This window comes from Homo sapiens, chromosome 6 (genome assembly GCF_000001405.40).
Source record: "Homo sapiens chromosome 6, GRCh38.p14 Primary Assembly".
Taxonomy (NCBI): Eukaryota; Metazoa; Chordata; class Mammalia; order Primates; family Hominidae; genus Homo; species Homo sapiens.
In genome coordinates, this window is record NC_000006.12 from 25,463,434 (window position 1) to 25,480,943 (window position 17,510).

The 17,510-nt window shown below is 38.0% G+C and overlaps 1 protein-coding gene across 20 annotated transcripts in view, besides 1 other annotated feature; it reads left to right on the top strand.

The window, feature by feature from the left end:
• Window positions 1-17,510, top strand: part of CARMIL1 (capping protein regulator and myosin 1 linker 1) — a 341,157-nt gene that overhangs the window by 184,060 nt on the left and 139,587 nt on the right. For all 20 annotated transcript variants that reach the window (XM_017011008.2, XM_017011009.2, XM_017011015.2 and 17 more), the window contains 3 exons: window positions 2,440-2,515; window positions 7,736-7,824; window positions 8,994-9,088. In XM_017011008.2, the coding sequence (XP_016866497.1) occupies window positions 2,440-2,515; window positions 7,736-7,824; window positions 8,994-9,088 (260 nt within the window). The remainder of the gene's footprint in view (window positions 1-2,439; window positions 2,516-7,735; window positions 7,825-8,993; window positions 9,089-17,510) is intronic.
• Window positions 15-215: a silencer, noted in NCBI's record as "peak5738 fragment used in MPRA reporter construct". NCBI's record gives its function as "represses an SCP1 promoter by STARR-seq MPRAs in K562 erythroleukemia cells {active_cell/tissue: K562}" and the evidence as "EXISTENCE:reporter gene assay evidence [ECO:0000049][PMID:32103011]".

Consider the following 17,510-nt stretch of genomic DNA (forward strand, 5'->3'; position numbering starts at 1 on the left):
TTCATGATTCCGTAGAGTGATGTGCCTTCAGTTCCTGAAAATGACTTCATCTATGACAAAAGCCAGTTATACTTCAAATCAGATCATGGGACAGAACAGAATACACAAAAAGTGGTTCTGAAGTGTGGTCACTCCTTGACATTAAATCCACAAAAAAGATGAGACTGCTTTGCCATCATTCTGAATGTTGAAATATACAAGAGAACGCTCAGCGTGGGCTTTGGGGACTCTGTAATAAGATGGAATTCACCCTTAGAGAAGCTACAACCTGTAATTAGGCAATAGGAAGAGATACAGGAACTTGTTCTGAGCACAGAGCATGTGGTCAATGGAGGGGGACGAAGAGAGGGAAGACCATAAAATAACTATTGAAAGAGTTGTTCTCCTTTTTTTTTTTTTTTTTTTTTGAGACGGAGTCTCGCTCTGTCGCCCAGGCTGGAGTGCAGTGGCCTGATCTCGGCTCACTGCAAGCTCTGCCTCCCGGGTTCACGCCATTCTCCTGCCTCAGCCTCCCGAGTAGCTGGGACTACAGGCGCCCGCCACTACGCCCGGCTAATTTTTTGTATTTTTAGTAGAGACGGGGTTTCACCGTTTTAGCCAGGATGGTCTCGATCTCCTGACCTCGTGATCCGCCCGTCTCGGCCTCCCAAAATGCTGGGATTACAGGCGTGAGCCACTGCGCCCGGCCAGTTGTTCTCCTTTTTAATCTAAAACTTAAAAAAAATTTTAAACTTAGGCAAAGTTAGTAAAGAGGCTTGTCAGTAGAAAACCTGGCATGTGGAAACACATGACTGAGCCTGCCTATTTCTCTGGATTTTTTTTTTCTACTATCTGTGGGCACTCATCTCATCTTTTTAAAGCATGTCTATTGAAACTGCACACATGTGGTGCTTCAGAGCCAGGGTTCTGACTGTAGTTCTGTCCCTTTGGCCTAGTTTCAGTTTATTTTCTGAACATCTATTCCTTCATCTGTAAGATGTAAACAACAGTGACTCCTGGGGTTGTTTTGAGATTTAAATGAACTGGTATATGTAGAGTGCCAAGCACAGGGCCGGGCCACCCAGAGCTATGAGATAATATTGATTCTCAGACTTCTTTCCACCTTCTGCCTTTCTCTTCTATTTCAGTAAAAATCTGAGTATCTGCTACTTGTCCTGCACTGAGCATAAAACTGATATGACCTCACTAAAGCTAAAAAACTGAAGTAGACAAAGGCTTGGTTTTCAAAGAATTGAATAATTGGGGGTGGTAGGGGACTGATGCTTAAAGCAACAAACTATAATATAAGATAGAATAAATAAATGCTAAAAAGGGAGGTGGGGTTTGACCAGGAGAGGACTTAAGGAGGTGAGGATGTGTAATAGTGGCATTTAAGGACACATAGTTTTTCATAACTGAACAGAGCAGTAAAAGATTATTCTGAATGTGAAATTGCACATCATGTTAGATGAGTAACAAGTTGTCAGCTTTTTGTCTTGAGCATGGGATGAGTTGTGGGAGCTTAGGCTGCAAAATTGGAATGGAGGCAGAACTGTCATGCAGATAGCTTCACTACATGGTCAAAGAGCTGATATGAAGCCTAAGACAAAAATGCACCTGGGCTATCTTATGGATGCAGTCACTGCTAAGAACTAAAGCAAAAAAAAAAAAAAAAAAAAAGACCAAATGGTTGCAAAATGCTTGCTAAGCATTGGGAATCCATCCAGTGCCACTTACTGTCAGGGTAGGCAGTACCTTGCTTGCAATATGAACTCCTCTGACTAGAGAATACTATATGAGATAATTGATGGTTAAAGAGTTTATGAAGGAGGCCAGGCACTGTGTCTTATGCCTGTAATCTCAGCACTTTGGGTGGGGGCCAAGGTGGTTGAGTTTCTTTGAGCCCAAGAGTTTGAGACTAGCCTGGGGAACATGGGGAAACCCCATCCATACAAAAATTAGCCAGGCATGGTGGCGCGTGCCTGTAGTCCCAGCTACTTGGGAGGCTGAGGTGGGAGAATCACTTGAGTTTCGGAAGTCAAGGCTGCAGTCAGCCATGATCACGTCACTGCACTCCACCTTGGGTGACAAAGTGGGACCCTGTCTCAAAAAAAAAAAAAGATTTTATGAAGGAGAGATCTAAAGAAATAAGACTTGTTATTGGTATGGACTTAGAGGTAGGATTTCTCTCAGAGCAAGGAGGTTTTTCAAGCAAATTCTGATACCAACCTCTTTCCTTTGGAAGTAGGAAACAGAGTCCCTAGAGACAATTTACTTCAACTTTTGGGAACTTTGAAGATCAGTCTTTGAGAACTTAGTTGTTGTCTAGTGGCCAACTAGATGTTGTGTTTCTGAATAATAGAAATTAACAGGTGAACTTGGATGTCATGGATTAAAAATTAAGTGTCAGTGTAGCTACTGTAGGAGCACTTTCATGTACTTTGTTGTTTCTGCTTCCAGGGACCTAATACCTATCATTGCTGCTCTGGAATATAATCAGTGGTTCACAAAACTGTCCTCTAAGGATCTAAAACTGGTAAGTAATCAAACATGCAGCAAATGTTGCTTGGCTTTGCTGAATTTCAAAAACCCAATAATTGTGGGAAAAAAACAATTTTTTTACTGTACTAGTAAGCTGTATACATTTTATTTCTTGAGGAGGTATTTTCCTTTAAATGATTTGCGTAACATTTAGTCAAATTTGTAATGTGAGATGCTTCCAAGTATTTCCTCATGTATTCAGCTGTTTCGGGCAATTTAAGAAGATGAACAAAAAGATACATTTAGTGTAGCCTTTAGTATAAAGTCATTCAGTTGGCAAAAACTGTTAAAGTTACATTTGCACAGCTGCAAATAGCAGATTTTATATTCCTATCTTACACTCTGTCTCTACAAAGTTTCCCTTCCTAGGAATTTAGGAAAACATTAACAGGTAGAGTTCCCCTGGTCGAGTAATGATAGTTAATGTTGATTTTCTAGATGGGGTTTTGGGTAGATTTATATGAAAGCAAAATGAAATTAAAGTGAAATCTGTTTTCATAAGATATGAAGGAGAAAAATATTTGGTATATTTTATTAGTGGAAATAAGATGCTGTGTTGGGGTTGCTGCCAGTTCATATCAGTCATATGGACAGATGCTTATACATAAATTAACTCTCTGGTGTTTGTTATGGGATAAGAAAGAATTTATATGTTTTCCTGGAGACTCTCACGTTTAAGCCTCTAACTTTCAGAGGTCATAGAATCTAGGGGTTTAAGATTTTCATAGTGAATACATCAGACTTGGAATGAGACGTGGATCTGTAGGACATGGAGGGTTGAGACTGGCTAGTGGGCAGGCGACTTGGTTCTCTGAATTTGCCTGGGGTAGGGGTGGCCTAAAACATTATAAGTATGAAAATGGACTAAACTCATTTGGGGTCCCTTAAGAGCCAATATGGTAGAGGAAAATGCATGAACTTGGAATAAGAAACCTGGATTTCAGATTTTAATTTTTATTACAAGGCTGTGGTACCTTAGATAACTTACCTGACCTTCCAGGGCCTCAGCTTCCTGCACACCTGTTATTGTGAGCTAGTTGGAACCATTTCTTATTCATCTCTACCCAGTGCTTATGAGAATGTGTGGCTCATAGTAACTATTTAATAAAAATTGGTTTAATAAGTAGATGTCTAATAAGTTATCAAAGAGATTGAGAAATGAACAAATATGAGAGTATGAATTATGTGAACTATATAATTCAAACAAGAGTTGTGTCTGAGAAGTGATGATGGAGTGAGAGTTGGCATGAGTTGGATCCAGGTGAGCTCTCAGGGAGCAGACAGGTAGCCATTATGGGAGACCTAAGAATAGAAGTCCCTTGTTTGCTGCTTGCTGGGATGGGACCATTTCCAGGACTGAGCCAGCAAAGAGTACAGGTGGGAAAGAGGAGCCACTGGAGGAATGAGAAGGAGATTAGTCCAGGGATTGTGGGAACAGAGAGAACAATGGTTTGCTACCATGTCAGTTTTTCTGGCTCATTCAAACATTTACATAAGCTTGTGAATTTCAAAATGGGGCCTCAAGAGGGTTTCAAGAAGGTTGTGGATATCTCACTTTTGGAGAGTGTCCCAACCTGCAATTACAGGAAGGTGTCCAGGCAATTGCTGCTGCCATTCTGTCATTATTCCTCCCAGGTATCATCTCCTTTCAGCTGCCTTAGATGTTTAGGACATAAAATATGTACCTAATCATTTCAGTCCTGGCAAAACAAACCATGTAAGTGCTAGTATGCTTTCTTGGGTGTCCTGGGATGGAAGGAAGTGGAGTGACAGGATGTGAGGGCTGCTTATGCCACTTTTCTGTTAACTGAGATTTAAACACAAAAATACAGTTTGCATATATTTTTAATATTTGGTATTTTAAAATGAAGTGATCTTTGTGGATATTACTCTACAGGTCTTCAAAAAGAATACTAAATTCTTGATGTTTTTTACCCAAAGTTAAAAAGAAATGATACTTCCCCTTTTGATTGGTACTGAAGTGGGCAGTCTCAGAGCACTGTCTAACATTGGGTTTATTCAAAGAAAAGGACAATGTGAAGAAGCACATCTTTGGATTTTGTAAACATGAAGTGCAAGGGCAAAAATAAGTGGCTGCTTCTCAAGTTATATGAGCTCTCTGGGTTAAGATTGTTCCTAGTCCAATAAAAGCCTCCTGTGCTAAGGTGCCACAGGAAAAATATGACTTTATGTTGATCTTATGAAGCAAATTAGCAATCACTATTTCTAATTTGAGTCAAGGATTTTTAAAAAAAAAAATGGTACCGAATATGCAATTAGGACCATGTTTTTGGCCAACATTCTTGATTCATTAAAAAAAACAGCAGAATTGGGGTCTTGCTCAGCTTCTTCTGTTTTGCAATTCAGGCAAATTGGTGAGCATCTTTTTTTAGTCTTTAGGGAATGACATGCTGGCACCAGATAATGTATACGGTTTCTTTCAGTTCTAAAGTTCCATTTTTTAAAAATTATTTTACTTTGCAATAGTTCATTTATTACTCTATAGTGATTCTAGTTTTTGTTGTTTACATTCCATTTTTAACTGAGTGCAAGCTCCTGGAGAGCCACTGTATCCAGTTTTTAAAAAATTTCCTAAACTGATGCACGTAGTGCTGCACATGCTGTAGACATTTGGATAACACTGTTGGAATTATCACATTATACTTAGTAGCTAGGTTTGAGTGTGTCTCCCTTTAAAAGTTTCATTTCCTTATATTCATCCCTGTAGAAAATGATGCTTTTAATGTACTTGGCACTCAATAAAAATTAGTAGAATTAATTTAATCATGAATGATTTGTTACACGTCTCCCCTACTGGCATTTTAAAGAAAAGTTGGAGACACTTTCATACATTTTCCTTAATAAATTTGTATTACAGTATTTATACCCCAATGAGCTATAAATCTTCAAAGCATTATGGTAAATTACTTTTCCGGGTGCACTGCAAGGTAGCCCAGAAATGGTAATGATCCCAAGAATTATTTCTGGTTATTAGGATAATCGCTGCAAAAACATTATCTAAGTAATCACTTTTTATCATGACAACACAGAATAAGACCAATTCCTTTGTATGTACATTGTGAGATAAAGAATTATACTGATAAGGGTGTCACCATTTTGAATATCATCACTGTCAGCATAATGTAAATTGTAGGCATCAGGTCAATTGGAATTAATTTTTCTCTTTCCTCCTAAATCAGTGGGACACATTAGAAACCCAGCAATAGTGTAAAAGTGGCATTATAGACAGAATGGAATCAAACAGCAAATAAGAATTATGAGAGCCTTACATGCTGTGGTACTTGGGGTGTATCCAAGTTAGGTTTTCTTAAAAATACTTGGCTAGAGAACTTGTGCCACATTCAGACTGTGTTCCAATTATGGTTAATCCAGTTGGGTATTTGTGATCTGATAAGTCAAAGTACTGTAATATTTTTATGTGCTATTTTAAGAAAAGAAAGTGCTTTGATATTATATGCTGTGGCACATAGAACATGCCTTCTTTCTCTCACTCTTTTTTCTAAATATCATGAAGTATTTAATACAGCCTAGGTTGCAAGGAGAATTTTAAAATCACTTTGTGTGTGTGTGTGTGTATGTGTATGTGTGTGTTTGCATGTGTGAAACGGGGTCTCACTCTGTGGCCCAGGCTGGGATGCAGTGGTGCGATGACGGTTCAATGCAGCCTCGACATCCTGGGCTCAAGTGATCCTCCCACCTTACCCTCCTGAGTAGCTGGGACTGCAGGCGTGCGCAGTCTGGGACCCCACCCCACTACTTTTTGTATATTTTGTAGACATGGAATTTCACCATGTTCCCAAGGCTGGTCTTGAACTCTTGAGCTCAAGTAATCTGCCTTCCTCAGTTTCCCAAAGTTCTGGGATTACAGGCACAAGCCAAAATGACTTTTTAATGTATAAGTAATATTAAGGTCAAGAACCACTTTAAATTAGTTTTGGAATGAAGCAGGTTATAAATATAAAAACATTAATAAAGAAAAAAATGCCCAATTCTACCACCAGGGCACAACTCTTCATTTTTCACTGTCCCCTGAAAATTTTGTTATAAGTTACTCATTTTAATTGTTGTAATCTTGTTTAACATATATGCATAATAGTTATATAACTACATAATGGTTTTTTTGACATTTTTTATTACATGAGACATGTTTATTAACATGAGACAATTATTTATTAAGCTTTTTCCTATTATTAGGTTGTTTCCCACTTTATCCTATTTATGCTCCAGTAGGAACATCCTAATACCAGTTAGTGTTCATCAAGTACTTATTTAGCCTTCCTATTAAGTTTATGACATCTTTAAACCTTAATTTTCTTATCTATGAAAATGGAATAATAATCTTTAATGGTTTTATAATGAAATACACATAGAGGGCTTAACTCAGTGCCTGGCACATGGTGAGAACTCTGCAAAGATATTTTCAACATCATTATCATAATCACTAACACTTAGTCTTCAGCTCTCCATTTTGAATGTCACTTTCTTTGGGAAGTCCTCTAAGTTTCATGAGCCTGGATTAGGTGCACCTATATGTATGCATAGCACTACCAAAATGGTCTTTTTATTATTTTATCATAATTGTATATTTTTATCATTTCATTCAGGCTGCTATAACAAAGTGCCATAGATTGGGTAGCTTATAAATAACAGGTTTATTTTCCAGTTCTTGAGGCAGAGAAGTCCAAGATCAAGGCTCCAGCAGACTTGGTGTCTGGTGAGGGCACAGTTTCTTGTTCACAGGTGGTGCCTTTTAGCTGTGTCTTTACTAAGTGGAAGGGGCAAGATAGCTCTCTGGGGCCTCTTTTACGAAAGCACTAATTCCTTCATGAGGGCCCCACCATCATGACCTAGTCAGTTCCCAAAGGCACCTAATTGCTAATGCTATCACAGTGGGGAAATTAGGTTTTTAACTGTGAATTTTGGGAGGTCGGGGGACACAAACTCTGACCATAGCATTCTTCTTGTCTGTTTCCCCTGCTGGATGGCACACTCTTGAAGGCCGGGACTTTCTCCTTTATATCATTGTATTTCCAGGATCTTCATCACGATGGTGCGTAGTAGTAGATGCTCATTCAAGGTTTATTGAATGAGTGAATGTTTTACTTAATTAAAACTTTGCATTGCATAGATTTATAACAATAAAGTTTTTCTTCTTTAGAGTTATGGAATAGTCAAAGAATGTTTTCTGTTACAGTCCACTGATGTCTGTGAACAGATCTTGAGGGTGGTGAGTAGGTCCAATCGACTGGAAGAATTGGTGTTGGAAAATGCTGGACTTAGAACGTGAGTATTTTCCTGAATATATAAATATGTTGCTTTAAAACTCTGTGCCATTTGCTCTTCTAATTAATTCATAGTTTTTTTTTTTTTTAATTGGGCTGATCACATATACAGCAATGTTTTTCCTTCTGGGAAAAAAATATCCCTATAATTGCCATCATCATGAAGGCTAAGAATTTGGTAACATCTCTTGATAACGGTGTCACTTGATATTTTTGAGAGTACATAGTATAGTTTTTAAGAGCATGGATCCTTGAGCCAGATGTCTCCTGGCCTTGCACAAGTTGTTTACGCTTTCTGTGCCTCATTCTCTTCACTCTTAAAATGGGGATAATAATAATGCCTATTTTATAGAATTAAAATTGCTAGGGTAAATGAATTAATATATTTAAAGTACTTGGCAAAGTGCCTTTTACTCTGTAGATGGTATATGTAGGTTTAATTATTATCGTTACTGGTGGTCATAGTGATAACATATTTCATATGACTTTACTGCTTTGCTTTGATCAGTTTTAGTCATTTTTTCTCCCTTTTCAGGTTAACACTTGCATAGTCTTTATCTAGTGGTTTAGTAGTCACTACCTAAGCCTACTGTTAAGAGCATAAGAGTTAGAACCTAGTAGAATAAAGATTTTACTGCTAAGTGAGGAGGGTTGACAGTTTCATAATCATAGCACTTAGTACATTATTTGAAGTTAAACATAACTAAAACAGTGGTTTTAATTTTTGCCAAAATGTAGCACTAGCAATTGTAACCTTTAAACTTAATAATTAGTGTAATCAGTTTTGCATTCACAATTGCATGGAATGAGAAATAAGATGTGGTGAATACTATAATTTTCATGAAAAGCAGGTTCAATCCAGGATTTTTTTTTTTTTTAAATTATGGAGGGGCCAGAAAGTACTGTTAATAGCACACAACAGAGTGCCTTTAAAGGGGCAATTGTATATTTTCTTTTTGCTTTTGGCCAATCAGAATGAACCGTTTTCTGGCTGTGGCTTTACAAATTCTCTAATGAGGTGTTAATGGGTATTAAGAAATATATGCTATATAGACTAATATTGTAAGGGAGGTTTCTCTATTTAGATTTCACTCTGTTCTAAGCTTTAAATGTTCCGTTCGAATGGTTTTACATTTTGTTATTTAATCTTATTGTTTTGTTTACACGCAGAGATTTTGCACAAAAACTGGCCAGTGCTCTAGCACATAATCCCAACTCAGGACTCCACACAATTAACCTTGCTGGCAACCCACTGGAGGATAGAGGTACTGCAGAGTTCTCATTATCATTGATGCCAGAATTGTAAGAGGATTAGAGAATTTTAATTTAGCCATGCCTGAAGAGCTGTATCAAGCTAAGTTGTAATTATAAGTGCTGTTAATGGTCCTGTTGGCTTCCAGTTCTTTCCACCCTTTCATATAAATGCTTATGTTACAATTGTATGATCTGCTTCACCTTTTTTGAAGTGAAACAAAAGGAAAGGAAGATATTATTTTTAATATGTTTTATTAGTTACATAGTCCTGCATAACAAATTACCACATACTTGGCAGCTTAAAATGATACAAATTTATTATCTCATACTGTCCTTGGCTCAGGAGTCTGGGTACGGGTTAGCTGGGTTCTGTGCTCTGGGTCTGTCTCTCAAGACAAGGCAAGTTGTCAGCAAGGGTTGTGCTCTCATCTGTAACCTGGAGTCCTCCTTAAGTTCACTGGTTATTGGTGGAATTAATTTCCTTGGAGCTATAAGCTCGATGTCCCCAGTTTCTTACTAGCTGTCAGTGGGCACCACTCCCACCTCCTAGAGGCTGTGCTCCTAGAATGGTTCTTGCCATGTGACCCCCCTATCTCACAACACAGAAGTTTGCTTTGTGTGTGAGGCCAGCTGGAGTACATCTCTCTGATGCTTTAGTTTCTTTTAAACAGTTCACCTGACTGCATCAGGCCCACCCGTGACAATTTCCCTGTTTTTCATGAACTCAAAGTCAAGTGATTAGTAACCTAATCATGGTAGGGATGTCTCATTACTGTTGACCCTTGAACGACACAAGAGTTAGGGGCACTGACCCCAAGCAACCAAAAATTCACATGTAACTTTTGACTCCCTCAAAACTTAACTACTAATAGCAGGGTTGACTGGAAGCCTTGCCAATAAAAAGTTGACTAACATGTATTTTGTATGTTATATGTATTATATATTGTATTCTTTAAGCTAAATAAAATTTTATTAAGAAAATCATAAGAATAAGAAAATATATTTCCTGTTCATTAAGTGGAAGTAGATCATCATAAAGGTCTTTATCTTGGTCATCTTCACATTGACTAGGCTGAGGAGAAGGAGGAAGAAAAGAAGGCCTTAATCTTGCTGTGTCAGCAGTGGCAGAGGTGGAGAAAAATCCACACGGAAGTGGACCAGTGCAGTTCAAACCCATGTTGTTCAAGAGTCAACAGTATATTTACTGCTCCCCACCCCCATATTCAAGGAAATTGCACAGGGCGTATACACCCGGGGGTGAGAATCTTGGGGACTATCTTAGAATTCTATTTACCACTATTATCTTTTAATATTTAACAAGATTTGAGTGTGAGAATAGGGAAAGGATGAAGGACTGTAGTTCACGAAGAGTCAGAACATTTTATTAAAAGTGTTTGCATGGGTAGAGAGAGGAGTCAGTAGGTTTAGAAAGGGAAACTTGAGAATTTGAATTCTTAGTAGAACACTGATGGACAAGGTTTAAGAAGGAATTGGTTTATCTCTAGTGGGACTATTTTGTTTTCATTTTCTGTTGCAAATGTTTTCCAGGTTTGTTGAATAAGGCCTTTCACCTTTCAATGTTATATTTGATGAGTATTAATTTTTTTTTTTTTTTGAGAAGGAGTCTTGCTTTGTCCCCCAGGCTGGAGTGCAGTGGCGCGATCTTGGCTCACCGCAAGCTCTGCCTCCCAGGTTCATGCCATTCTCCTGCCTCAGCCTCCCGAGTAGCTGGGACTACAGGTGCCCACCACCATGCCCAGCTAATTTTTTGTATTTTTTTTTTTTTAGTAGAGATGGGGTTTCACCGTGTTAGCCAGGTTGGTCTCGAACTCCTGACCTCGTGATCCACCCACCTCGGCCTCCCAAAGTGCTGGGATTACAGGCGTGAGCCACCGCACCCAGCTGAGTATTAATTATTAAACTGAGCTGAATATATGATATAGATGTTCAGTTTTTCTTTTTGTCCTTAATATGGTTATTGTTCTGTGCTGACAAAGATACCTAGGTTGTATTCAAGCAAAAATCTCCAGCGTAACTTGTCATCATCTAAAGTAGTGAATCTACAGGAAGGTTGAGACTGAATTAGAAAACTAGATCACGCAAAAAGTACCCTCATAGAATAAGCCAAAGCTGAAATTAATGGACGCATAGTAATGGAATAGGAGTTTCTCTAGGGTATACTCAATTCTTAGGAAAAACAAATGTTTCTCTATTAGATACTACAGAGAGGTGAATGTGACAAAGTAGAAATCATGGTGATCACTGTTTATAGGAGGGCTATTTTTGGTTTTGTTTTTAAAATGGGAAGGATTCAGTCATATTTATCGACAGACAAGAAAAAATCTCTAGAGGGAGGTAGTTGTTTGAGGAAGGTTCTTAAGCAAATGAAATCTAGAGTTAAGATGGACCAGGAAGGGGACACTTCTCAGTGTTTAGAGAAATGCAAATCAAAGCCACAGTGAGGTACCATTTCAAAAGCAGTAGTGTGGCAATAATCAAAATAAGTCTTAGAAAGGATGTGAAGAAATGGAAACTCCTACATTGCTGGTGGGAGTGTAAAATGGTACAGCCACATGCAAAACATGTTAGATAGTTTCTTAAAAAGTTAAACTTGGCTGGGCGTGGTGGCTCACGCCTGTAATCCCAGCACTTTGGGAGGCCGAGGTGGGTGGATCACGAAGTCAGGAGATCGAGACCATCCTGGCTAACACTGTGAAACCCTGTCTCTACTAAAATACAAAGTATTAGCTGGGCGTGGTGGCAGGCACCTGTAGTCCCAGCTACTCGGGAGGCTGAGGCAGGAGAATGGTGACTGGGGAGGCAGAGCTTGCAGTGAGCCAAGATCGAGCCACTGCATTCTAGCCTGGGTGAGAGAGTGAGACTCCGTCTCAAAAAAAAAAAAAAAAGTTAAACTCAAATCTGCCATATAACCCAGAAATTCCACTCCTAGTTTTATCACCAAAGAGAAAGGAGACTTAGGTCCACACAGAGACTTGTGAATGAATGTTTGTAGCAGTATTAGTTATAATAGTCAAAAAGTAGAAACAATCCAAATGTTCATCACTGGAGAGTGGTTACATAAAATGCGGTATATATAATATGTGCACTGGAATACTACTCAAAAGAGAATGGAATTCTGACACATGCCACATCATGGATGAACCTCAAAAACACTGTTGAGTGAAAGAAGCTAGACTTAAAACACCACACATTGTTTGGGGAGATGGAAGAGGAAGAATGAATTTGAGGCCCTTTGTTTTCTCTCCCGTTGTCCGCTTCATGTTCTCTGAGGTGCAGCCACATTAGACAACTTGTCACCACAGGTGCAGTTTCTTCTGTCTTGCCCTCACTTTGGAGCTCCTGTGCAAACTTCCATAATAGCACTTACTTCATTCTGCCCACATGAGAACTAGAGGTGGACATTTCTTCCCTCATGCTTCAGCACCTTGCTTCCTCTCATCCCCACCTTCTGGGTTTTCTGTCTCCCCTTCCTTCTTTCCTAAGATGCAAAGTGTCTAGTGTAAGACTTCGTCCACAATCAACAAATATTTTCTTTAAATCGAATTTGATTGATTTGATTTTATTCAATCTTAATGCTCTTGTATAGTTTTTTTATTTGCACTTGAAAATTACGGTGAAGTTTGAGAGATTTGTTTTGGATAGAGTCAGACCATGTGTTCAAAGATGATGTTTGCCTACTTTTTCCCTCTGCTTTCCTACTCCTGAGACCTGACTTTGTGTCCTTTTATCTAGCTGCGTCCCATTCACCAGTGCTGTCATCATGAATCATTCCAAGGATAGCCTTGAATGCTCCTGCCAAGTCTGTTGTGTGGTTTCTGCTCACATACCCTCAAATTTTGACATCCTGGAAATATTTTCGCAGACCAAGACTTTTCTCATTTCTGCCTCTTCTAAATTCATTCATTGCTGTATTTGCCAGTGCTCACAGGCAACTGCCAACATTCATATCTCCCACCTTTCTTTACTCTTGGGGATGAGCCTCCTGAACACAAATTCTTTATTCTTTTCATTCAGGCTAAATACCTGAAGATGATTGGTAGCTTTTCTGCTCATGGATGGAAATTCCACAAGAAATCTAATTGAGTGTAAAATATTTATTGAAATTTCAATCTAGAGAAAACTTTTAGTAATTTTTGTTCCCAAGCTTTTCAGTGATGGTATTTTGTGTTTAAAACTAATAAAAAGGGTGAATGAGAGGTCTATAATTAAGTTATACAGGATATAAAAAACACTAAGCCAGGACTATTATTTGTAAGGAAGCTCAAAGAAATACAAGGGCCTGGGCGCGGTGGCTCACGACTGTAATCCCAGCACTTTGGGAGGCTGAGGCTAGCGGATCATGAGGTCAGGAGATTGAGACCATCCTGGTCAATGTGGTGAAACCCCATCTCTACTAAAAATACAAACATTAGCTGGGTGTGGTGGTGTGTGCCTGTAATCCCAGCTACTCGAGAGGCTGAGGCAGGAGAATCGCTTGAATCAGGGAGTCAGAGGTTGCAGTGAGCCGAGATTGTGTCACTGCACTCCAGCCTGGCGACTGAGAGAAATTCCGTCTCAAAAAAAAAAAAAAACAAAAAACAAACAACAACAAAAAAAAAACAAGGGAGATAAGGTCTTAACAGTTAAGTGGCCAGGAATTCTGAGGAATTTAAACAGCAAATGGAATGTGGTTTTGTACCTAAACCTTCCACTCAGGGACTTATTTGGAAACTCTCAAAGAGTTGTATGATATGAATGTTGATGCAGCAAATCTCTGTTATTTTCACATCTATGTACAGAGGACCAGGCCTGCAGTCTTCTGATTGCTGAGGGGGTTGTGGTAAAGGAGGTTCGAGTATGACTTAGTAAGCAGAGGTATAATGTGTATGAGTAATCCTTCAAATGCTAGATACCCTCCTGCTCTCTTTCTGCAAGAGCAACACAAGATGGTGAACAGACCACACACATACACAAGCTATTCTTATCCTTGTTGCCAGGCCATGCCTGTTCACCAGCTTGCTCTTGGTCTTCATCTAACACAGTGTTTTTTTGGACTGTGGGTGAAGACCCATTAGCTGGCTGTGAAATCAATTTAATAGTTCATGACAAGCAATTTTTTTTTTTTAAAGCAGTGGAATAGAACAGAAAATGTCAGAGTACATTGTTCAGGGGAAACTTTAGTTTTAGTTTTCTAATACTAATATATGTGTGTACATTTATGCTTTACTTCTCTAAGCATTGCAAATTCTGTGTTCTGTTTTTCCTAGTTATCTGTCCCAATTACCTTAGTTTTTATGATTTCAGCCTTTTCAGAAATGTCTGTCCTCACTTCTTCTCATCACTTTTTTTTTTTTTTTTTTTTTGAGACAAGGTCTCACTCTGTTGCCCAGGCTGGAGTATGGTGGTGTAATAATGGCTCACTGCAACCTCCATTTCCTGGGCTCAAGCCATCCTCCCCACTCAGTCTCCCAAGTAGCTGGGATTGCAGGTGTGCACTACCACACCTGGCTAATTTTTAAATTTTTTTTTGTAGTGATGTGGTCTCACTCTGTTGCCCAGGCTTCTCCACTCACTCTATTCAAAATTCGATTATTTCATTTAGACACCATTTAGAATCCTAGCTCTAGTGTTTTTTGTTGACCTGAAGTACGCTCATATTTTTTCCCAGCTATTTGGTGGTGGCTCTGATTTGATCTTCTAAATAAGACAAGAGACTTATAGATTCTAGGATTGCTGCTTACTTTTCTTGGTGTTTTAGGTCTTTCATGTCTCAGTGTATATCAGTGAGTCCCAGAGTCGAAACACATGGGTTTAATTCCTGGCTTCACAGCTTTCTAGCTAAGTGTTCTTGGACAAGTTACCTACCTTCTCTGTACCTCAGCTTCCTTATATTAAAAATACAATGATAGTACCTACCAAATAAGAATGTTCTAAGGATTAAATGAAATAATTGATATTTTTATGGTTAAACAGGTAAAGCAATATTTTAAAAATGGCATAGATTGGCTGGGCACGGTGGCTCACGCCTATAATCCTAGCACTTTGGGAGGCCGAGGCGGGCAGATCACAAGGTCAGGAGATCAAGACCATCCTGGCTAACACAGTGAAACCCCGTCTTTACTAAAAATACAAAAAATTAGCCGAGCGTGGTGGCACGTGCCTGTAGTCTCAGCTACTCGGGAGGCTGAGGCAGGAGATTCCCTTGAACCTGGGAGGAGGAGGTTGCAGTGAGCCGAGATCGCGCCTCTGCACTCCAGCCTGGGTGACAGAGTGGGACTCCATCTTGGGGAAAAAAAAAAAGGGCATAGATTTAGATTTAGGGCGTTTAAAAGTTGGAAGTATTGACTCAATTTTTTCCAGTATGCCTATATTCTTATACTCTTGGTTCTAAGTCTTTTCCTCTCAGCCTTATTTTTGAAATGGAAATACTTCATTGTATTTTGCTTTTTCACTTACTTTCCTTAGTGTTTCTGAACTCTCCAGGAAAGTTATAGAATTGGTAGAAATGTAAAAATTTTTACTCACCTGTGCTCTGACATCCACAATGTTCCAATGTGTATGCTTTCTAACAGAGAAGAGGCCTTTTGTTTCTCCCAGAAACCACTACCAAGATCAAGAGACAGAATGTTCCCACCGTTCTCCAGACTTACCTTGTGGTTTGCCCCAGTGATTACCAGCCCTGTCCTCTACCACTTGGAAAAGATAACTACTATTCTGACTTCTCTCATGATGGATGAGCTTTGCCTGTTCTTTGCCTATGTACTCCTTTGTGTGTGGCTTCTTTTGCTTCTCTTTGTGGAGAGATTTTTTAATAATAGATTTGTTTCCTTGAATAGATAGAGAACTATTGAGATTATTTACTTCTTCTTAAATTAGTTTTGGTCTGTCATGTTTTTCATAAGGGATTTGTTCCTTTCTATTAAAATGATAGTTTTTTGACTTACAGATGTGTTTATACCCTCGAGTTATAATTCAACGCCTGTAAGATCTTTACATTCTCTTTTCATTTGATTTTGATAATTTGATCTCTGTTTCTCATTTATTTATTTTACCAGTCTTGTTGGAGTTTATTAATTTTGTTAGTATTTTTAAAGAACCAACTTTGTTAAATTTACTTATTTTTATGGCTGCTATCTATTTAACTGGATTCTTCCCTTTTTCTTATTTTTTTTCCTTCCTTCTGTTTACAGAGGTGGGTGAGGATTAATTTGCTGTTTTTTGAGCTGGATAATTAGATAATTATTTTCCAGTTTTTTATCTTTCTTAAAATATGTATTTAGGTCTATTGATTTCTCTCTAGGCATGGCTCTAGTTAGATCCCAAAGATTTTAATACCATAGTTTTTAGATTTAACTCAAAATATTTTTAAAATTCCCACTGTGATTTTTGACTCTTTTGTTATTTAGAAATATATTGCTTAAGTTATAATTATTTGGGGATTTTCTAATTATCTTATTGTTATAATTCCTATTTTAACTGCAGTAGTGGTAACAGAGAACATACAAATATTCTGTGTATGAATTCACAGTACTAAGGAACATTCTGTTATTTGTTGAGACTTTCTTTATGGCTCAGTATATGATTCCTTTTGGAAAATATTTAGTGTGGACTTTGAAGAAATGTATTCTGTAGTTACTGGGTACAGCATTTTAAATATATCAGTTATATCTTTTTTCATTATGATCTTGATATTTTCTATATCTTTACTGACTTTTTCTGTTCATTTATTAGCTACTAATAGAAGTGTGTTAGAAAACTTCCATTATTATATATGCGTGTGTGTTTATGTAATATGTGTATTTTCCTTTTGTTACTGTCAGATTTACTTTATATATTTTCAGATGATGTTAATCAGAGCATAGATTTAGAGTAATTGTATCTTCTTAATTAATGAAATATTCCATTTATCTTTAGTAATGTTTCTTAAAATTTAAATTGTCTTATTGCAGCTACATCAGATTTCTTTTAGTTAGTGTTTGTAGCATATCTTTTTTCGCTTTTACGTTCACTTCTGAATACATGTATCTCTAGGTGTATCTCTTGAAAACATTTGATATTTTTATTCAAATAAATCATCTTTGACTTGTAATTTGAGTCTTTATATTTATATAATAATATTTTTAAATAAAATAAATTTAAATTATTTATATTTAATTTAAATTTATATTTAATGTAATCATTGAAATATTGGGTGAAAATCTGTATTACTATTTGTTTCCTTTTTTTTTTTTTTTTTTTGAGTTGGAGTCTTGCTGTGTTACCCAGGCTGGCGCGATCTCGGCTCACTGCAATCTCCACCTCCTGAGTTCACGCCATTCTCCTGCCTCAGCCTCCGGAGTAGTTGGAACTACCCGCGCCCGCCACCACGCCCGGCTAATTTTTTGTATTTTTAGTAGAAACGGGGTTTCACCGTGTTAGCCAGGATGGTCTCGA